At 40.0% G+C, this 23,650-nt stretch overlaps 1 protein-coding gene, 1 long non-coding RNA gene and 1 pseudogene across 16 annotated transcripts in view; 1 reads left to right on the forward strand and 2 right to left on the reverse strand.

The window, feature by feature from the left end:
* The window catches only part of LOC107984089 (uncharacterized), a 36,512-nt gene extending 30,468 nt beyond the window's left edge, over positions 1–6,044 (forward strand). Inside the window, exon 3 of the long non-coding RNA XR_002957769.2 lies at positions 2,619–6,044. This is a non-coding gene — a long non-coding RNA (uncharacterized LOC107984089). The remainder of the gene's footprint in view (positions 1–2,618) is intronic.
* The window catches only part of FMN1 (formin 1), a 429,171-nt gene that overhangs the window by 49,402 nt on the left and 356,119 nt on the right, over positions 1–23,650 (reverse strand). For 2 of the 15 annotated variants that reach the window (XM_017022131.2, XM_047432439.1), the window contains one exon: positions 21,956–22,629. The exons of the other annotated variants lie outside the window; for them this stretch is intronic. In XM_017022131.2, coding sequence (XP_016877620.1) covers positions 22,526–22,629 — 104 coding nt within the window. In that variant the 3' untranslated portion in view covers positions 21,956–22,525. Of the gene's footprint in view, positions 1–21,955; positions 22,630–23,650 lie in introns of those variants that run through there. 15 annotated transcript variants of the gene reach the window in all.
* LOC107984761 (microtubule-associated proteins 1A/1B light chain 3 beta 2-like) lies at positions 21,956–22,381 on the reverse strand (annotated as a pseudogene).

A 23,650-nucleotide genomic window follows, 5' to 3' on the forward strand; every position in this document is an offset into this window, starting at 1 on the left:
ATTATTATTATTTTTGAGACAGAGTCTCGCTCTGTCGCCCAGACTGGAGTGCAGTGGTGCGATCTCGGCTCACTGCAAGCTCCGCCTCCCGGGTTCATCCCATTCTCCCGCCTCAGCCTCCCGAGTAGCTGGGACTACAGGTGCCCGCCACCACGCCCGGCTAATTTTTTGTATTTTTAGTAGAGATGGGGTTTCCCCGTGTTAGCCAGGATGGTCTCGATCTCCTGACCTCGTGATCTGCCCGCCTCAGCCTCCCAAAGTGCTGGGATTACAGGCGTGAGCCATCGCGCCCGGCCTGCATGTTTATTTTTATTTCTTCTTTAAAGTAGTGTTCTTCAAAAGCAACTCTCATTTTTTTAACCTCATAGCATTTTAGTACTAGATATTCAGCAAATCTAAAGAAAGAAAGCACCTCATGTTAATTTTTTTTAATGGAAGAAAAAGTTCTCCAACTAGCTTCTTTGGGTTTCCCATAACTGCCTCTGATGATTATCTATGATATTTAGGGCCAATACTTCATTCTTCAGACTTTAACTTGTCCATATGTACACTAGATAAAATGAAACCTTACACTTGAAAACTATGGAGCTATACAAAACTTAAGAAATTACCTCATATAAACCCCTCATGCTATAGTTTAAAAACAAGCTAAGTTAAACAATAATAGGAGACTGAATAGATAGTGGATTTTCCAATAACGGAATCACGTACTGGAGTGTGTCCCCTTCCCTTCACCAGCCATAGCTACAACTAAGATCCAAGGACAGTCAACCTAATGCTTATAAAGTAGTCTAATACAATGGCCTAGCACAGTCAGATTGGTGGTGGTGGTGGTAATGATGGTGATGAACATTCACTGAATACTCAGTATGCCAGGTGCTATGATACTAAATTCTTAGGTTCTACACTGTGGATTAACAGTGGAGCCGAAGCTTCCAAGTGCTCCATTACTTTCTAACTATTGACACTGGGTCAGTTGTTTAATGTGGCTAAGACTCAGTTTTCTCATCTATAAATGAAAGTAATGATAGAGCCTACATTCGACAGCTGTAGTAATTAAAAGAGATGTTTGTAAGGTGCTCGGCCATGGCACCTGGCACATTAGTTAAGTAAATACCGATTATGATAATGACTACCATCACTATAATTCTTTGTAATCCAGTGACATTTGCTTGTGCAGCCTTTCTTGGGTTCCTGTGAAACTTCTCTGGGGAATTTCAGCACCCTGTTTCTCCTTAGTAATACGTGTATCCCTACAGTAAGCTCCCAAGGATTAAAGCACACTTCCTAGACCCACATACCACAAAACGTGCTTGCAAAAAATATCACGGGAAAATGCTATGACAAAATTATAAATAAAGAATATAAAGCAGTGGCATGATGTGCCTAAAGTTACGTCAAAAGGTATATCACACACATTATATATATAGTTATCAAAATATTGAATCCATAAAAGAGTCAGAAGGTAACATACCAAAATATTATGGTTGCTATTTCTGCCTCTCTGGTTAAGAGGATTTTTGTTTTTCATTTGTTTTTAGTTGCTTTTTGAAGAAAGGGGCTCATTTAATATAATCAGAAAAAGAAACAACAGATGCTGTTTGGAGGCAGCTGCAGAGCACTTTGAAAGCGAGTGACCTGCCTAAGGTCATACAAATAGTTTTGGGCAAAAAAGAAAGAAGCTGTCCCCTGACTCCCGACTAGTTTTCACTAGGCCACACTGTGATTCTTTATAGGTTCCTGCTGAAAAACTGTAAAACTGTCATATTACTACAGTGGAACAATAGAGAAATAAGTCGTAACAGAAAAACAACCATTGTCACGGATAAGTTAAATTTCATTGGGCAGTCACCCACATTAAAGTCCTTTATTCACACCTTATACTCACAGGCAACATGAAATTCTACAATCTCTATAAAGTAACCATTCTACATATTTTTTACAAATTGTTCAGAAGGACATCCAATATTAAGAATAGTTTCAATCACATTATAAAGAGTAAAATTCAGATAAAAAGCTATTAGGCATGGTCAGAGATTTTAATGGCTTAAGACTGACGTTAACTAAAGAAAAACTAAGAGAAGAAAGAAGCCATACTTATACATGATTTACAATATACAGCATCATACCTTGACAAAGGAAATTTCTTGTTCTAGATCTATTTACACGAAACCTCTGACATCTGTGTAGCTTAACACATTTGTTAAATAGCTGAAGCTCTCCCTCTAGAAAAATAATTGTTCAGATGTTTAGTCATAAAAATGAATAGACTACCAGAACGTCCTGTAAATAATCATGAAATAGCCATTGCTATCCTTAAATCAATCTTCTTTTAAAACCCTGGCAAAGGCTAAATGTACTTAGGAAACTGAATTTACATGGCCACAGAACCCGACAAAAGTCTAATTTCCCTAATATTGGCTATTGCTTACAACATCAAATTACTTTTTAACCCATTTTTATTTCACTTGGTCAAGGGTTTGTCATAGCTGGAGGTTTAAAACGGGTCCACTAGAAATGGTACCCAAGAATTAACACGATGACTTCAAGAGCTCTGATGTTACCAAGTATCTAGGTGTGATGAAGGTCATAATCTGTCTCTTGGGTGATATTTGCAGGAAAAGAAAATGCTGAGAGAACTGGGATTCCCAAAGAAGATGCTGCAGAAGATATTTTCCACATTAAAGAACATTTGATCTGTTCCACCAGTAGATGAACCATTAGCAGAAGCAATCATTATCAGAGCCAGTAAAAGGAAATAAAGAAATGAGGCTTGGTTTTTAAAGTGACCACACTGCTTCTAAGTCAAGGTGAAAGTGCTGACAGTGAATTTATCAGAATTCCAGGTGGAATCCTCCAGAGTCACCTTTCAATCATAACTGTCATCCTCAGAGAAAAAGCTTTTGTTGAAGAAAAATTTGTACAAACATTGAATAATCACATTGATATGGTAACAATTTAACAATACATTCAATAAGAATGAATGTTACAGTGGGTCACTTTTTCCCTGCTTTTTATCAAACCTTTGTATTTTCCCCAGATTTTACAAGTAATAAATCCTCATTGTAGAACATTTGAGAAAGATATAAATAAGAAAATAAAAGCAGTGCATAAGACTTTCTCTGAGCAATGGCCACTATTAATATGCTGATTCATTTCATAAATGTATATATTTATAATCACACACTCATTTGTGCTTTAGTTATATAGTTGAAATTATATTGAATGTAATGTCCTTTCTTGCTTTTTCATTTTTTCCCTTGCATTTTATTTAACATAAAGGTATAGGTATAGGTCAACTTCTAAATGAATACTTTTATAATGAATTTATATTTAAATTTACAATTATTAAAAATAATTGTTGAAAAATTAGCCTTTATTTCAAAGTGAGTATGGAACCTATTCAAACAAAACATTTTCTAGAAACTCATGAAAGCATTTCAGAATAATTTTTTGACAGTTCTTCCTAAACGAGATCTTGTAGGAAAGAAGTGTTTATGAAGGATTATTAAAATATTACCAAATAGAATTAAGGCAGATTTTTATCTTTTGATTTAACTTGGAAATCATCCATTGCTTCACCCTTTAGTCTTCCTATTTTTGCGCCTTAGAGAAATGTTTTACATGGCTACCAGTGCATTTTAAAATAGTGTCTAATACTGCAAAGTAAGTTGAGATTTCTTTATCCTGTGCTTAAACCTAATATATACTACTTATTCTGTATTTGAAAAATATAGTATAAAGAAAATACCCTTAATGCAAAAAATATTGAGGATCAGTATATTCTTGGAAGCAAATGTGAAGCCTCTGTGTATATGACAAGCCACACACACAAGCACGCATTCAGTAGGAAACAGATCTCCCTCGAAATCTGAGAGGGTAAAATGTTCAAATATTATGCAAACTGGAGAAGTGCCACCATCTCCTGTACGCAGGAGCCTGAAGCTAATTGTACAAGTGGCACGAAGCTGATTTCAGAAAGTAAAAAAAAAAAAAAAGGCTCATGAAACCAGAGGCTTGAAATGTTTTACTGGAGAAAAACCATAGCATTACCTCCTCCTGTGGGATGATAACAATGATTTATGAAGCTGAAGTCATTCCTTGTGATTGCACTTCAGGGAGATTGGTTTCACATGATCTGCGAAGGCAGGCAAGGCGAGCTGAAGAAGAACCCCACATGTTCAACTGAGGCTGAGCTCTGCCTCTTCAAGGGGATTCCAGAGCTCCGAGGAGGGGGAGGAAAACCTACTGCTTTCTGATCCATGCAACCCCCTTCCCCCCAACCAACAAGCTTATTAGGTGGACATACGGCTCTCTTATTTTCTCTCTCCTTTTAAAAAGTATTACTACTTCTGCTGTGTGGGAGTAGAAGCTTGTTGTAAATGCCCAGCAGGATAGTAGCAAAGCCAAGATTAATTCCCTATGGATTTATATGGGTCGTTCTCACCCACGATGACTTGTACCGTTTCAAAGGTGCTTATGCTGCTGTTTTTATGGCTGGTCACTAACTTTATTCTGGCATATGGTGGTTGGCGCCATGACATGGAGTGAACATTTTATACCTGAATTAAAGTGGATATTTGACAGTTTCTGTCAGAAAGTTCAGAGCAAAGAATTTGTGGGACAAGATTTATTGCATATTTTATATGGGACACATCTGTTTCTTTGCTAGCTTTGTTCCTTCCCACAAAAAAATTTAAAGACGTTTCCTAAAGAAATATAATGACTGATAGGAAAAAAATTCCAAAGCAGAAGAAAAATATGGTCAAAAGTTGGGCATTTAGGATCTAACTTTATAAAAAAGAAAGAAAAAAAACCACTTCTCATTTTGACGAGGAAAAATGACTCACAGTCATGTATAGAAGCTCAGTGAAACAATGCTGTTATTATTGGCAATTATTTTATGGTTAGTTTAATGTCATTTATATAATGAAATTAAAAATGTAAATGTATTACCTACCATTTTTCGCATACTTGAAACAGGACTGGCAAGAATAATCTGCCTTTGATGTATTTTTAAGATTTTGCCATCTCAAATGGTGGACTGAATAATAAGTCCAGCTACATCAGTGTTAAACAAAATAATTACAGATATTTAAACATTTAAAACTGATATGCCTAAAGATAAACGCAGACGACTTCCAACCAAAATCCATCAATACAACCTGAAGGGTGTATATAAACTTCTCATCTAAAAACTCCCTGTATTGTAAAAAGTCAACTGAGTAACAAAGATTCATGATTACAACGTGAAGGGTGTATATAAACTTCTCATCTAAAAACTCCCTCTACTATAAAAAGTGAACTGAGTAACAGAGATTCATGATTACATAAAAAGCGGGCTCAACCTGAAACTTTGCGTTAACAGACAGGCCACTTTTTCTTTTAACTGCAAAGAGAGAGGCTTTAATTCTATTATGAAACTGAAAATAAAACTTCCACTCTTAAATATTTTGCAAAATTAATCCTTAACTAATTTAGGTTATATGCATTCTCCTTATAAAAATATAAAACATTACAGATAAAGTCCCCCTGATAGCCCTCTGCATCACACCCTCTGTCTCCCCCAACACATATATATATATAGTTATCTTCTACAACTCAAGTACTGTTATCATTTTGGGAGTATCCTTCCAGAACTTCTGAGTGTCCCTGTGCAAACATGCAAGGTTTCTCTAAGACAGACATAGAGAAGTAGATTTGTTAGTGTTATCAGGTAGACATAGTTTTAATTTATTTGAGACTGTCAGTCCTCCACAATGATAGTATAATTTAATACTACGAAGGGCTGATAATTGTTTTGTCAAACTTTTAAAATTCTGCAAATTACATAGATTTTGGTACCAACCCTTGGTTAAATATTTTGCAAATATATTTTCCCATGCTTTTGCTTGTCTATTAACTTTGTTTACAACGTTTATCATTTTTAAATTTAAATCTGAAACAGTCAAATTCATAAATACTCTTCATGTCTTTTGCTGATTAAATCATTTGCAAGAAGGTCTCGTCTACTCCCAAGGTAATAAAGAGGTCTCGTATTTTAATACTGTCTATATTTTTGGTTTTGCTTTTGTCCTTTAGATTATTATTTGAAATTGTGTGAGGCAGTTTTGTTGTTGTTGTTGGAGATGGATAAACACTGTTCAAATGTCACAGATTTTCTAAGATACAATTTTCTAAGAGATAATCAGATTTTCTAAGAGATAATCAGAGTATCCAAATAATGGCAGATTGTCTTGTCCTCTCTCAGGTTTAAATGAGTCATTTCTTTTTCCTTTCAGCTGCCTGGGTAAAGTTGGTCCATTCGTGTTTATTTTGATTATGAATATATTTAGATTAATCCTCATATTTATTTTGTACTTTTCTTCACCAAGCTTGCTGGCTATTTACTTTTTCACCTTTTCCTAACTTTTGTTGGATTCACCAAACTGTCTTTGCTTCATTTTTCCTTTACTGGTTTGAACATGATAAATTCTAACTTTTTGACTAATAAATATTTAAATCTTTTTTTTTTTTTTTTTTTTGAGATGGAGTCTTGCTCTGTCACCCCAGGCTGGAGGGCAGTGGCACAATCTCGGCTCACTGCAACCTCTACCTCCCGGGTTCAAGCAATTCTCTGCCCCAGCCTCCCAAGTAGCTGGGACTACAGGCGCCCGCCACCATGCCCAGCTAATTTTTGTATTTTTAGTAGAGATGGGGTTTCACCATCTTGGCCAGGCTGTTCTTGAACTCCTGACCTCATGATCCACCTGCCTCAGCCTCCCAAAGTGCTGGGATTACAGGCATGAGCCACCACATCCGGCTAATACTTAAATCTTAACACCCATTATACCTGTGATTTTAAGGTTATCTACAGCTTATTATATCTCAATACCCTAACCTGGAACAATATAAGGGAGGCTTGCTTTTCCTTTCATTCTCCTCCTAAATTCTACGGTCACATCCAATGCCTCATCCCATTTTGATATCACCTGCAATTTTATTTCCACATTATCAAACACAAATGCTTTACATTTTATTAGTAATGCTTTAACCATTATTTTATAAATGTCTTTGCTCATTATACCTTTTGCTACTCCACTTCTTCCTAGATTCATTTTCAACTTGAAGAAGTACAACTTCAAGAGAAGATCTGTGAGATACCTGTAATCCCAGCACTTTGGGAGGCCAAGGCAGGTGAATCACCTGAGATCAGGAGTTCGAGACCAGCCTGGCCAACATGGTGAAACCCCGCCTCTACTAAAAATACAAAAATTAGCCAGGTGTGGTGGCATGCACCTGTAATTGCAGCTACTCAGGAAGCTGAGGCAGGAGAATCACGTGAACCCAGGAGGTGGAGGTTGCAGTGAGCCGAGATTGCAGCACTGCACTCCAGGCCTGGGTGACAGAGTGAGAGTCTGTCACAAACAAACAAACAAACAAAAAAGATGATCTACGATTAGTAATCTTTCTAGGCTCTGCGTTTCTCAAAAGAATTTACTTTTCTCATTTACTTTAATGACAGTTTGGTTAAATTTAGAATTCTAGGTTCTGATATTTTTCCCCTCAGAACTTTACACTTATTACTCCATTTTTTTTTCCTGCATCCAGTGTTGCTGCTCAGAAGCTTCTTGTCTCTCAGCATTTTTCTAAAGCCTTGATTTCTCAAGGTTCATTATAAAGAATTAAGGGTGCACATATGTGTACATTTATTTTTCATTGCCTCTGTTGGCTCTTTCAATAAGAGATGCAATGTATTTTCATTTCTGGGAAGTAATGTTGCATTATTTGAGTATTTCTTACTCTCTTTTAAAAATATTTCATCAACTCAAATTTTAATTTCTATATTCTCTACTGGATTCTTTTTTATGAAGGTGTCTGTATCTTATAGTTCTCTGAGATTATAAAACACACATGTTCTGAATATCTGTTCTGCCTACAAGCATGTTTTTTCAGGTGTAAATTCTCCTGTTTGTTGAGTTTCTTGGCTTTCCTCTGTTGTTGATTCTGGACACGGAACCAATCTTGCTAGTTGAGTCTCACCATTGGGTACAAGAGTAGGACAATATGCTGCAGCTACTCTATCTTGGGGAGAACAGAGGAGGGCAGAATGTTCCATGGGGCAGGGTACTCACTCATATCCTGAGCTACCCAAGGCACTGCGCCCTTTCTCTCCTACCCACGAGCCCCCATTCATGGTCTGTCTCAAAGACAGAGAGTTTCTACTGTTTTTTTTTTTTTTTTTTTTTTTTTTTGAGACAGAGTCTTGCTCTATCACCCAGGCTGGAGTGCAGTGGCTCAATCTCGGCTCACTGCAAGCTCTGCCTCCTGGGTTCACACCATTCTCCTGCTTCAGCCTCCCGAGTAGCTGGGACTACAGGCACCCACCACCATGCCCAGTTAATTTCTTTTTGTATTTTTAGTAGAGACAGGGTTTCACGGTGTTAGCCAGGAAGGTCTCGATCTCCTGACCTCGTGATCCGCCCACCTTGGCCTCCCAAAGTGCTGGGATTACAGGTGTGAGCCACTGCGCCCGGCCGAGAGTTTCTATCGTTATTGCCTACACCAAGGTGGGCCCAAAGAGGTCATCTCTGCAGAATGAGAAAATTCTCACAAATGCCGTTATTCCAAGAAAACTGCTTAAATTTCAAAACTCAAAGTTTTAAGTTTCCTCTCACATACATTCTATGACAGTTCTTACATGTTTTGAGCATTTTTAAAGATTTGTAAACCAACAAAATGCTAAAGTAGCAATTTTACTATTATCATAAATAAGGACATGGTGGTACAATCATAACCATTTTTAAAATACCAATTTTAAAGGCACTATGTGGAAACAAAGCCCCTGAAAGCTACTATTCCAACTCATGCTGGAGGTTTAGTCACACCCCTGGTCCAGAATGCTTCGTGGGTAACTTTCATATTCGAAAAGTATTCTTCACAGAACAGGCTTCTGCGAACTCACAAGGTGGAAGGCATGGAGCCTGGAGCTGTAACATCCTACTGCAAACATAGGGAAGACCACATTGGAACAGTGTGCCCCTGCCAAAAGCCATGTGCTCCCTTCTTTACAGGTCTATAAAATGGCATGTGTGATTAAATAAGATTTCACTGAAGTGCTGGAAGCCACACACAGTTGAAACATGGACTTGGGGATGGCAGCAATGCCACCAGCAACAGATAGTGTAATGTACCCCCCGTGAGAGGGGAAAGGTGGGAAAGGAATTTTTAAAAATCTTTGGTCACGTTATTATTAATCATGTTATTTAATAACTGTGAGTACTATTTAAAAAGCAACACGTCCCATTTCCTTCATACCATGAAAGCCAAGTCTGCCTGGGCTGGAGCGTGGAGCCCAACACTGGTTTTCAGAGGCTCAGATTCTTACATGGTCCTCTTAGTGCGTGCTTACCTCACAGAGTGGATAGATATCCACATGAATTTGACAGATTACACATAGGTAATGCTTTAGAGTTTTTTGAACATTTTCAGAAACAGTATTTTTAAATTTTATTTGCAAGGAAAAAATGCTTATCAGTGGCAAGTCAGGTAGGGTCATGTTCAACATTGGTCAATTATCTCACCCATTCTGATCACTTGCTCTGTTCCCGCCACTGGCTCTTCTTCTCCCTCTTAAATATATTCAGGCTCCAAGGCCCGCTCTCTAGACTCTTTTCTATCTTTTAAGAGACAAGGTCTCACTCTGTCACCTAGGCTGGAGCACAGTGGTGCAATCAAGGCTCACTGGAGCCTCCAATTCCTAGGCTCAAGTGATCCTCCCACCTCAGCCTCCTGAGTAGCTGGGACTACAGGTGTGAGCCACCGTGCCCCAGCCCTCTGTTTTATAATTAGCTATAAATTCAGCTACTCTCGTTCTGCCGATGAATCTCAAATCTCTATCATCAACTCCAAACTACATTCTCAACATCAGATTTGCATTTCCCCTGCTCTGCTGAACATCCTGACATGAATAGCTGTCCAGGAATTCCAATTATTCCCTGAATTGTCTACCATAACACAAATTTGTTCCTTTCCTTGTCTGAGTCACCTCAGTAAATAGCATCGACATTCACTAAGATGATCAAAACCTGGGATTTGGCTCCTCCTTTTGTACAACTCCTACGTTTAAATCCAATTCCTGTCTTTTCTACTTCGAAAACATAGTCTTGAATTCATCCATACTTTTCCATCTCAATTTCCACCAGCCTGGTCCAAGATGCTCATTTTTCACCTGAGCTACTTCAGTAACTTCCTTATCTACTTTTGCCTCTGTGCATTTATTTGTCTACACAGCAACCAGAATAATCTTTTAAAACATGAATGTAGTCAGGTTACTTTCATTTTACAAATTCTTTTAAGGCTTCCTGTAGAATAAAATCCAAATTCCGTCTCATGATCTTCAGGGCCCTGCCTAGGTGGTCTGCCCTAGTTCTAGTTGTATTCGCCCATCTTAATCTCTCAGTATGCCAAGCTCTCAGCTGCCTCAGGGCTGCCAATCATGGTGTTCTTTCTGCGTACGATGTGTTTTTCTTCTATGCTTCCTATAACTGGCTCCTTCCCAGACTTAAATGTCATCACTGTTCTACTCTCCCTACTCTTTTAAAGTAGGTTTCTTAATACCAGCCCTCTTCAGCCAAACCTAAACTTTCCACAATTTGTAATTATACAATGGGTTACTTATTTGCTCTTTTGTCTCTTGCGCTTGCTAATTATAAGTTTATCTGTCCTGTTCATGACTATATAAACTATGCCTGGCACAGTACCTGACACACTGCTGACTCTCAAAAATGGGCTGAAGAAATTTTCTCTATTACCCTTTTCATTGCCATTCCCCTATTATACAGTTGTCTGTTTAGGATTGGCTCTCCTGACTACGTTGTGAGATCTTTAAGCCGGGAGACCGTCTCTTATCTTTGCTCGGCACAATATCTGACACACTGTGGGCCTATTCATAAAGAATGAATGGTTAAGATTAGGTACTCAGTAACCTTTTCCCCAAATTGTATTAGACCTGACATATAAAATCAGTGTGCGAGATGTTGTTTAGAATAAGTAGTTTTGAGAGGTCAAACAACAATGACACTGGTAGTAATAACAGCACATTTTGGATAAGGCTGTTTGGATAACAAAACTCGAATGATGGAAATAGTAGTTAGAAATCACTCAAAGTGAGACTCAAGGGAGCTGACCCTCCCTCTGGATGTCAAAATCTATCACTGACTTAGCAGTGGGGTCCCTAGAGTGTTTCTCAGAATAGTGCTTCCCACACATGTCAAGAGGGCCTAATGGCTGCTTCTTTCACAAGGGTGGTGGGGAGACACGTGAGGTCAAGTGTCCCACAGCCCATAGAGAAGCAGCTCTCCAGGGAGAGTGGAAGACTCTCCAGGGCCCTGCTTAGCGCAGCCTGAGAGGCTACAGGCCAACAGTGAAGGTGTTGAAAGACACTGAGATCGAATTCCCTGGGGGAAAAACGCTGCCCTGAGATTTAAGGAGAAAGAGGAAACAAGCCAAAAGGGTATGCTCAGAAACTGATGGAAAGGGCTAATGTCATCAGATCAAACCAAAGGAAATTAAAGGAAGATTTAGTGAAAAGAGGGCAAAAACAGAATCAAAGGACCCCAGGGAAGCGCAGACCAATTTAATGAGAAACCAGGAAAGTAGTGAGAACAACAAGGGAGTCTCTCTTCATCTATGTTTAATCCAGACTTCTTGCCATTTAATGCTAATGCTTTGCTCCATTCTTAAGTCATACCCACCTAGGAGTTTGCTTTGGAGTTTGTATGTAGGAACGAAGAGAGACCCACCTTCTATTAGAACACTACATGATCTCACACTATCATTACAATATTCCAGGCGGCTTCCAGATAGCATCTTAGCTGTGGAAATGCTATTCTCTTATGTCCTTCCCAGTTTTCCTAGCGCTGGCTCTTTCCAAAGCTACTCATTCTTATCTCCTTCAACTACTTTCTAAATAAACAAGCTGAGAAAACACACACAACTGATGTTTGCCTACAACTGATGCATTCATCTTGTTCTGAAACTAAGTAGAACTACAGGAGAATCAGAGGAGGGGATTCAGGGATGGCATGTCCTCAGGCCTGTTGCCACGTCTCCATTAGGCTCTGAATATGCGTTTATTTTTATAGCTCCCTTTCATGAACAGGTTGTGTGAGACAGAAGTCTTATTTCCAAGGTTCACTTTACTGAGTGGCCTCCAGTCACTCTTTCCAAGAAGAAAGATGGAAAATTATGGTCCAAGCAGCTTTACCGTCCATCTAGGAACCAAGGAGAATGCTGGACCTCAGCCACTCACCAGCTTAAACTGTCATTTATGAGCAACAAAATGATTGTCTTTGGGTCTCGGCAGCATTATCTTGAGCAGAGTTTGTGGCGGTAAGGCCCAGCTAATCACATTTGTCTAATTTTACATTCCCATCACTTTCACAAATGGATTATTACCTACTATTCACTTAAATAAAACAAAGAATGATCAAGGAATCTTGTCGTTCTAGATGAAAATCATAACATATAAGAAAATAGCATTAGTTTTCATGTTTGTACCACTTTCTAACAAAAGAGTTATAATCATTTCACATTATTGTCTTGTTCATCTTTTTAACGACCCAATGAAGAAAGGACATACAGGCCGGACGCGGTGGCTCATGCCTGTAATCCCAGCACTCTGGGAGGCCGAGACAGGTGGATCATCAGGTCAGGAGATCGAGACCATCCTGGCTAACATCCGTCGCTACTAAAAATACAAAAAGAAATTAGCCTGGCGTGGTGGCGGGCACCTGTAGTCCCAGCTACTCGGGAGGCTGAGGCAGGAGAATGGCGTGAGTCCAGGAGGTGGAGCTTGCAGTGAGCGGAGATTGCGCCACTGCACTCCAGCCTGGGTGACAGAGCAAGACTCCGTCTCAAGAAAAAAAAAAAAAGGACATACAGATTGCTGGCTCTCCTTTATAGCAGAGGTCCAGAATGATGTGACTAACTTAAGAACATGAAGTGAAAGAGGTATGGATAAAGAAAAACATGGTTTATTCACACAACTGAATAATGTATAGTGGTTAAAAGGAATCGGACCCAGGCTGGGTGTGGTGGCTCATGCCTGTAATCCCAGCACTTTGGAAGGCCAAGGCAGGTGGATCACTTGAGGTTGGGAGTTTGAAACCAGCCTGACCAACATGGTGAAATACAAAAATTAGCCGGCATGGTAGCAGGTACCTGTAATCCCAGCTACGTGGGAGGCTGAAGCAGGAGAATCGTTTGAACTCAGGAGGCGGAGGTTGCAGTGAGCCCAGATTGCACCACTGCACTCCAGCCTGGGCAACAGAGCAAGACTCTGTTTCAAAAAGAGACAAAGTAATTAGATCCATATGTATCAACATCAATAGATATTAAAAATTAGGATGCAGAATGGTAAGCCCAATATGGTTCATCCTTTCTGTAGTGCAGAATGTCAGAATTTCTTCTTAATTTGGTAAATTTTGATTACTCCAAGTCGTACAAAGGGAAATTCCATTTTCCAAATTAATGGAGCTAATTGAAATGTGATTTTGTAATTCTTTATCATTTAGCATGTTTTTTTTTTTTCTCACTGGGTTTTTGTAACAGTGAATAGACTCTAGCTTGGCTGTAAGAGCTAACAATTTGGATAATAGTACTGCTTTGCATCTACTGCACTCTGCAGAGGATGATTCAAAAAAGAGGCTACTCATCTCCCCTGAGGATGAAAGATAAACATTTGCGGTTAAAATATTGTCACGACTCAGACAGAAGAAGGGATTTAGCCCTACCACTTGGCTCATGTTCCCTCTTAACCAAATCATATTTTTTTAGTAACCTAATAAAATTACTGGGAATAGAAAGCATACATTCCGACTACTAGAAATATTGATACAACAAAGGAACACGTTAGTAGTTTCAACGTCTTTTACTTAAGGATTTCAGAATTCCTCCCAGTGAACAGGGAGATAGGTAGGTAAAATATAATATTTCCTGGTAGATGACCTAAGGCAAAACTCTTTATCTGCTGGCACCTATGTATATTTGCTACACATCGAATGTTTTGTCATCCCCTAGAGGAAAGACACTGGTGGATGGCAAGAATGTCAGTATTTGTTTACTTGGAGCAAGAGGCAGGTCATTTGGTCACAGACTCAAAATGCAATGTGCAAGAACTCAGAAACTGGATAGCAAAACTCCAGCCCAAATGAAGCAAAATTTCCTTCTCTGCTTTCTCAAGGTCTACTCTAGTTAATATTGATGTAACTAGACAAATACCCAATAACAAAAATTTGCCATGCAATATATAATCTAAGATGGCACAACAGTTTATGAGACCAAGCTATTATTCCTACTAAGTTAAAAACATGCGCTCCGGCGAAAGTTCTGTCAACCTTACAGCTCTTTAAATGCATGCATCCAGGAGGACTAGACAAGCCATCTTCTGCTTCCAGCTGCTAGTGTTTCTAGCTGGTGAATAACACAGGCCCCCAGGAGAGGGGGGTGAAAGATAGTTTTCAAAGATTGGAAAATTTCCTCCAACTTACATTAAAATTAATATTAAGGGCTCTATATGTGGCTGCTGGAGTAGAATGGTGGGAATCTAATCAAGAGCCCGTGCCTTCCTTTGAGGCCAGTTTCCTAAAATTGGTTCTCTGTGCCTATATTGCATGAGCTGAAAGCATATGGATGCAATCACATTCCAAGATACCTTATTTGGTGTTGGTATGGACTGGGCATATTGTCTCAGCTTACAAAAGCAATAAGGATTCTCTGACTCCTGCCAATCCATGTAAATCACTCTTTTACCTGTTTAAAGGGTAAGATTCGTGAGTGAGGAAAATAGTTACAACTATTTTGTTACCAGCATATATAACCATGTTCTATATCTAGATAGAACTCTTCAAGTTGTGAGACCTCAGTAGTGGGAAGGGAGACAAGATTTAGACAAATACCCACACAGAAATGAGGGGGGACACATTTCTCCCACGTGGCAGAGTTAGGAGGTACTGAATCCAAATTTTGTCCTTATGTAGAGACCTTATGCTGGTTGAGAAAGCAAAATAACTAAATAAGGATTACTTATATCTGCAACTCATTTTAATGTCTTCTTTATTTTTAAAAGCAAATGGACTAGTGAAGGGAAATTCACTTCTCTGAATACAGGATCATCCCACATTCAGGCTATCCAAAATTTGGGGGATCTGGAAGGCCAAAGACCAAAAATAAAGTAAAAAAAAAAAAGTAAATGAAGTTATTGGATATGAAATAACAAATGACAGGAGATTAAAATCTTCTAATTCTTGTGTCTGGCCATATAACTGAGTGCCACTGACCATTAGATAAAGACAGATTTTTAAAAATAATCACCCCTATTGTAAGGGATAGTCACTCCTGACTCATTGTCTTCTCTTCTTCATTAGTTTGATTGTTTTTCCCTCCAGATCACATTTTTGGAGTTGTTCTTTTGGTGAGATAGTGGTTGAAATAGTTTAATTTTCCTTTTTGAGTCCTGTTTTCACCTCTAGATGAATTTGCTTTTATGAAGGAATTCCATTCCATTTATGATCTAAATGAGGAGGAACTCCTTTAAATTCTTTCCTTTTTTGGACAGCTTCAACCTGTATTTCACTGAGTACCACTGCATGGTAAGTAAAGAGGATACTATAAATAAAGTGTGAAATAGACATCTTCCCTCTCGTATCAGCTAAGTAATTTCTCAAATATTTAAAAATTGAAAGAAGTGCCACAGAGGTAACAGAAAGAGGGGCAGTTATATTATTGAGTAGAAACCTAATTTTCCCAGGAGTATATGTAAGAAAAGCCCTCCCTGTCCGAGGAGACGTCATCATGTGAACTCACATATGAAGAAAGGTGGAAATCAATTAGGGGTAGGAGCAGCGAGGGCCCTGGGGAGTGTTCAAGTAGTGCAAATGACATCTAAAGACGGGATGAAATGTAACCTTTCAGATCGGGAGGGCAGGATCCAAGCCACCAAAAAGTCTAGTGGTTTGTATCCTCCAAACACCCCCCACCACTATAATCTCCCGCCACTTACTCAACCACTCTAGTCCAAGGCACCAAACCCCCATGCTGGATTCTTAACCTGTCCTGATTGAGGTCCTCCTTTAAGTCACATAGATCCAGCCCATCTGAGTTCAATTTCCTCCTTTGTAAAATGGAGATAATAATAGTGCTTTCCTCAAGGGTTTTTTTATTCAATGAGAAATGAGATATTACTTAGTATCAAACTTGGCTGAGAGTATTAAATAAATGTTAGCTAATATTATTTTTACTTTTTTTTTTTGAGACAGGGTTTCGCTGTGTCAACCAGGCTGGAGTGCAGTGGTATGATCTCGGCTACTGCAACCTCCACCTCCTGGATTCAAGTGATTCTCCTGCTTCAGCCTCCCGAGTAGCTGGGAATACAGGCACCTGGCTAATACCGTTGCTAATAATATAACGCACATATCATGGAAGCTTGGGAAGTTTTTATAAAACAGGTGGGGCTTGATGGCAGTTTTGAAGGGTATTTGCTGCTTGCCTAGAACACGGGAAGTGGAGCTGGCAGTCCAAGCTCAAGGAGCCCCAGGAGCCAGGGCTTTGCAGAGGCTGCAGGGGAGGAAAGTGTGTGTGGGGTGGGGAGGTTGGTATTGCATAGGTCCAGGGAGGCAATCATGAGACTCCCTAGACCACAGGAAAAATCTTTTGTGGGAATAGTAAGCTTGGACAAGTAGACTAGAGACTATGAAGATAATCTCTCAGAGACTGACACAAATAATCCACTCATGCAAATAATCTCAAAGAATGCAGCCTTTTTTTTTTTTTTTCTAACTTCTGATTCTTAAGGATGAAGAATGTGGGTGGGGATGCCTGTTCCCGGTGTCAGTAAGTAAAATCTTCTGGTGGGGAAGTATTTTGAATATTTGCAAAGAAAGTTCAATGCTCTCCAAAGTGGAGGTAGAAACTGGCACCAGGGATTTCTGTGTACCTGCCTAGAAATACAGGGCTTTAATCTACAGCCAATGTGAACTTTTGTAACTCTTTAAAACATCATCATTTCTGAGGGACTTCAGACTCTGTTCTGTAGGTCAGCACCAGACCAACAATATAGAGTTCCTGTGATCACTTATGATTTGAAACATAAACTCAGGCTTTGAATGTTTTAAAAACACCCGTATAACTATGGGTTGTTTAAAAATAGCTATACCCCAAAGAGTTTATTTCCAACATCTGACATGAATGCATTTTGCAGCGATTTGTTATGCAAATAATGGTAGCAGGGAAGACATATGAAAAAACATTGACCCTTCTCAAAGCCCGATGGATTTAATGCTTTTGTTAATTCTGAATTCCAAGTCTAGGGGTTGTCTGTTTGTGGTGTATAAAATAAAATACTATATGCCTGCCTCAACTTTCCTTCTGATGAAGCTGTAATTTGCAAAGGAGCTATTGTTCCTCTATGGCTTCCCTAATTTTTCTTCACAGACAACTGTGCTTCAGTGTGGAGAGGGGTTTCAGTGTATTGGCTGTTGAGATGATGCTGTGAGTATTTTCAAGGCAGAGGGGGCTGGGTGCGGTGGCTCACACCTGTAATCCCAGCACTTTGGGAGGCCGAGGCGGGCAGATCATGAAGTCAGGAGATCAAGATCATCTTGGCCAACATGGTGAAACCCTGTCTCTACTAAAATACAAAAAATTAGCCAGACATGGTGGTGAGTGCCTGTAATCCCAGCTACTTGGGAGACTGAGGCAGGGGAATCGCTTGAACCCGGGAGGTGGAGGTTGCAGTGAGCTGAGATCGCGCCACTGCACTCCAGCCAGCAGAAGGAAGAGCTTTTTGAGATGGAGACTCAGGTAGTGCTTGGAATTGCTGATAATCCAAGGCCTGATGATACGGGGGTTATTTGCTGAAGCTTCTATTTCAACTCTCCTTTATGACCCCGGGTTACCTAAATATGTTGCCTTCTAATGTTGTTTTGTGAGAGGTAGGAAGTAGGGTAGACATCATCAGTCTTAGATTTGTCAATGGGAGAAAACCAAGGGACAGACTTTTTTGCCGCCATTTTGTCCTTCTAAAGTGTTAGCTCCTTTTTCCCACTTTACAACTCCTCCTTTCTCCCCTCCTCCTCTGCTCTGCTCTTCTCCACCGCCACCACTCCCAGCAGCTGTTTATTAAATGCCCACTGCATGCTAGCTTTCTAATTTCTTCTTGTCTCTAATGGTCATATTTTAGGATGTCATTCCTCTACTGACAGCTACCACTTCTAGAGTAATCCTAACCTGTAATTCTTTTCTTAGAGGATAAGTAGAAAATACGTAATGGGAGGTGGGGGGAAATGGTTTTGATCTTCAATTAGTGTAACTGATAGGGAGGAAAGGGCTTGGGTTAAGGGAATGTCTTATGAAGCAGCAGCTGTTTTATAAGGGACTCATCTGGAGAAGTGGGGTGTATCCTCTACTGATAAGGGAGAAGACCCACAGAAAGCCAACTAGCATCAAAACAGCCCCAGCATCCAAGCACAGAGGAAGTGAGCCTTCTGACCCCCATGATCTAATAAGCCCCAATATTAGTCCATACAGGAGATGAGCAACATCCCAGGGTGAGTGAGTCAGTCACTCAAGTCCCCGGCCCAAAAGTGTAATGGACTTTGTTTTATGGTTTAATGGACATTTAGCTGAGTTAAAAGGGTTAACAAGTCTGAACACTTCTCTGAAACCTGATGAGATATCCAAGCATCTTTTTTCTGAAGGTCTCCATTGAAAATACCACTTATGAGTAACTTCTGTAAAGAAAACCCATCTGAAAATACCAGAGATGAACCAGCTGCTTTTTTCCCCCTGAACTCTTAGCAAATGATCTAAGGGCTTAAACACATTAAAGGCCACAATTTCAACTTCTGGAATCAATAGGGCAAAGGAATGTGGGCATATTCATTTAAATATGAATTTGCTGACTCCATTCTTACTCTCTTGGGTTCCTCCATAAGCCCAGACCTTACACTAAAAGGCAGCTACTTCTCACACTGCAGCAGGATTTTGAGAACCATCGCCCTTTGTCATCTTCACCCTGACCCTTCTCATCATTTTTTCTGATTCTCAGAACCTCCTGGCATTTATTTCCAATTCAGTTCTGTTTCCTTTCACCAACTCAGGTTAGTTGAGGCTGGACCCTAGCATGCCTGTTTTGTCATACTCTGATGAAAAGCAAATTAAATTCTTGGATGGTAAACTCTTTTCTTAAACTTCTGTCTGGTTCTTTGGAAAAAAATTAAAAATTATATTTCTGTTAATATCAACCAAAATATTGAATCCATCTCAGGATCCTACATCCCTTGACCAACAAGCTGATAAAACTGCCTAGCTCATCTTAGTCAACCTCTTCCTCTCACATGGTGTGTGGAACAGAACTTGGTCTCCCTTGGGCTTCAGTAGTAGCAAATTGAGGAAGTAAGACCTTAATTACATATAACCATGTTTCCACCCTACGTTAGCTCTGTTCCCTTGCCCTTTCACATTTCAAGCTGCCTCAAGGAGGAAAAAATCAGACAGATAAAACACAAACAAAAGACAGAAAACAGGAGCTCAAGGGCTAAATCAAGACTATTAATAGTTCCTCCAAACAAAGAAACCGACTGCCATCATCCAAGCTCTGTTCATCTAATTCTTCCTTTCTCCAAATGTGGCTGAAACTCATCTCCCTTTTAGCCTTCTCTTACTCCCACCGTTATTATTTTCAGCAATTTTTCCCTAAGACAAGGCAGCAGCAGCAAGAAGTGAGAAAATAAAGGTAATCTAGGTAGTACCTTTCTTTGAACAAATAGTTTTCCATCTTTTTCTTATTTCCACTGATCTTGAAAACAGAATCACTGTTTAAAGGGGAGAAGCCCTAGTTCCCTCTGATCACCTTGGTTAATTTTAGAATGGGTGCTTCATATTCACCACACAGAGAAATCTAAGGCTTTTATTCAGGTGAACCCTTCAAAATGATAACATTATGACACCAAAGCTTTTAAAAGTCTTGCTGTTCTGAAACTGCCATTGCAGTTTGGCTTTGTGGCTTTGGATACTCTCAGAGGGAAGGCATCACCTTTGTTAGAGTTTGTGAATTTAAATTAGTTTGGGTTTGTTTGGAAGCAGAGCAACATCAGAAAATCCAGTCCCTTTCTACCTAAAAGCACAAGGCTGCTAGTGAGCAGGCCCATGAGGAAGAGCTGGAGGAGAGGGCAGGACACAGGGATGTCACCCAGCCTAGCTGGGATACGTGTCAGGCCTGACCACGTAATCACAGATACTCATGAACAAGGGAAAGCAGACTATTCAGATACAATGAAAACTGATTTTAAATAAGAGGCATCTCTTATTTTATTATTTTTTCTAAATCGTGGCTCTAAAAAAATAAACTTAGAATTATTTTCCTCTTCCAAAGTGAAATATCTTTTTCTTCCTGGCTTAGACCACCAACCAGGTTTCTGCTGCCGGAAGCCGGGAAAATACTGGATATTCTTTGAGGAAGCCTGATCAGATGCCCTATTATCCCAATTTCCAAACCAAAGATGCTTGGAGATGAAGACACACTTTTTTGGTGTGTGTTCTAAGTTGCAACCTCAAAAACTTGGCAGTTTTCTCACCATGGACTGTGATTTCCATGATGTGATGGTTTGGAAGGGTTTGTTTTCAAATAGATGTTATGGGGTGATTCCAAGGGAATTCTATTTCAATCCTCCTGAGTTGACAACCTTTCCTTCTTAAGTGTAACTTTGGTGTTCAGATAACCTTGGGACACAGACAAGGAAGATTCCCAGTGGTAAATGTCTGTGTGGTACAAAATGGGAAGGCAGAAAGTGAAGCTTGTAAAGTCATGAAAATAAGAAAGAAAGAGCTTTTCATGCATTATCTTTCACACTGTTCTTCTTTTTCTGTTTTTATTTTATTATTATTATTTTTTTGAGACAGGTTCTCACTCTGTTACCCAGGCCGGAGTGCAGTGGCATGATCATGGCTCGCTGCAGCCTCAATCTTCTGGGCTCAAGTGTTCCTCCCACCTCAGCCTCTCTGTACCTGGGACTACAGATGCATGCTATCATGGCCCAGCCAGTTTTTAAAATTTTTTGTAGGATGTGGCCTCCCTATGTTGCCCAGGCTCGTCTTGAACTCCTGGCCTCAGGTGATCCTCCCACTTTAGCCTCCCAAAGTCCTGAGATTACAGGTGTGAGCGACTGCTCACAGCTGGGATTACAAGGCTGCTCACTAGCAGCCTTGTGCTTTTAGGAAGAAAGGGACTAGATTTCTGATGTAGCTCTGCTTCCAAACAAACCCAAACTCATTCAAATTCACAAACTCTAAAAGGTGATGCCTTCCCTCTGAGAATGTCCAAAGTCACAAAGCCAACTGCATGGCGGTTTGGGAATGGCAAAACTTTTAAAAGCTTTTGGTATCATAATTTACTTTTATTTAGGAGGATAGTATAGTTCACATTTTCTCCTTTTTCACAGGTTCTATTTAGTGTCATTTATAGTAGCAATAATTCATATTCTAACTTAGCTTTACCTCAGCAACTCTTTCTCCCCTTACTTTTAGTCTCAGTACTACAAATGCCCGCATGCTTTCTCCCCAGAACCGAGGCCTTCATATTTTTCTCCCTAAGCTGTATATGTCTTACAAACTTGTAAAATGAATGTAAATGAATGTAAAACTTTCCCCTTGTTTGGTGAAGAACAAGAGGATACACCCATTGCTTGAGCATACATCTCCCTCAGTCTCTCTCTTTTTTTTTAGAATGCAAAGTATTTTCTTTTTAAACTTTTAAAATCTGAAAACAAGCTAGCCTATGTTAAATAACATAGTTTCCAAAGCTGAACGTGCTCACTTGGAGCCCAGTTTTCTGCTTCAAATACAAACACAACTTCCTGACACTCCTAGGTGGGAACACTACTGTTTGACGATCTGTGATTAGATGAACTGATCGATCTCAGTGGGTAACATTCCTTTATTTTTTCCTTGGTAAAGGTTTAAAAATTCTAAAATAGATGCATTTTTTTTTTTTCAGTTTTACACTGACAATTTCATTCCAATTGTCTCCTGGGAGACACAGACCATGTACAGGAATCCATCTTCATCCTTCTCACTCTGCTACAATGCTGTGTCTGTTCACCGCCAGGAGGAAGGCTTGATTAGCACTGAGCTGGAAGGACCTTCTAATGATCTTGATGAGCTCACTCAGGTTGATGTGGTCCAGTACAAGGAACATTGCTTTATCCAGGACGGGAAGCTGCTTCTCAGCCTTGTATCGTTCTGTTACTACCAAGATTTTGGGTGGATGCTGCTCTCGGAGAAGTCAAACTTCTACTCTTTGTTCAAAGGTGTGGTGTGGCCTGAAGGTCTTCTCTGATGTCATGGTGCAGGGATCTGGGTGGTGGTGGCGACATAAGGGTTCTGGCGGCTCCTGGGGGTGGCGGTGGCAGTGAATCTAACTCTGGCGACAGTGACTTCTCTTGTCTCCCTCAGTCTCTTTATTATATGCTTGATCCATCAGAAAGTCTCAAGGTTCTATGCACCTCAGCAACCCCAGTGATAAGGCAAGGGGTTCATGGACTGAGTCCTGAAGCCCTCTTGTGTTTAGAGATTGGGAAGATGAAGAACCAGCTTAGGAGATTGAGGAATGCCCATGAAGTAGAGAGAAGACAAAAGAGGGTTAGGACCTAAAGCAAGAAGGAGTTTTCAATCCATCATTTGATCAGCTATATCTAATGCTCCTGAAAGGTGGAGTAAGATTTTGCGTCAGATATATAGGGTCTTTTAGACTGGAATAGTGTCTGATTCTTCTTTTTTTCCTCAGAGTCTCACATATAGTAGATAACTTATAAATGCTGAATGAACAACTGAAAAAGAATAGTAGTGATTGGTCACAGAGAATGGGATGTGCTCTCTGTTAATTCCTTGCCCATCAACAGATGCCCATCCTAGGGCAAAATGGGAGAAAGACTATCATTTCCACAGTCCTCATGCTGAATGGATCCCAAGTGCTATTGCCTCATTTATGTAGCATGATCCAGAGACACTTCCAGTCTGAAGAACTTCAAAGGTTTTAGGAGGCTGAGGTGGAGGGCTCGGGGAGCAATGAAGGCAAGAGGGAAAGGGATGAACAACCACAATAAAAGGCCGGCACGTTCACAACAATGTTGGGCAAAGACAGTGATTCCTGAATATGAAGGAATCTGGAGAGCGAGTCACAAGAAACTGAAAACATAAGGGGGTGGAGGAGATGCTGAGAGAAAACAGAAAGCTATGAAAGAAGGCAGACGCTCAAACCGAGGTAAGAGAGAAAAAATTAAAAGCGGAAGGGGAGAAAGAAAAAAAATCGGAGAGGTGAGGCCAATGTATGGAAAAAGAGCAAAGGAAACACAGGGCCATTGTCTGATGCTGAGAACAGTCTGGAGACTGAGCAACTGGTGCCCGATTTCTGTGCATCTCAAGAGGAGATAAATGGCAGATTGAAGGGACCCTCTTGGCATTCTGGATCCAAGAGGAAAACATAGCAGGCGCAGTGAATGCTCAAGTAAACACAAACAGCAGCAGCCGTGGGGTTACGAGTGACCTGACTGCAGGCTCTGTCCTCTCCTGGCCTCCAGCCTGTGTGTACAACACACATGCCCGCTTAAAGCCC

Source organism: Homo sapiens, chromosome 15 (assembly GCF_000001405.40).
Source record: "Homo sapiens chromosome 15, GRCh38.p14 Primary Assembly".
Taxonomy (NCBI): domain Eukaryota; kingdom Metazoa; phylum Chordata; class Mammalia; order Primates; family Hominidae; genus Homo; species Homo sapiens.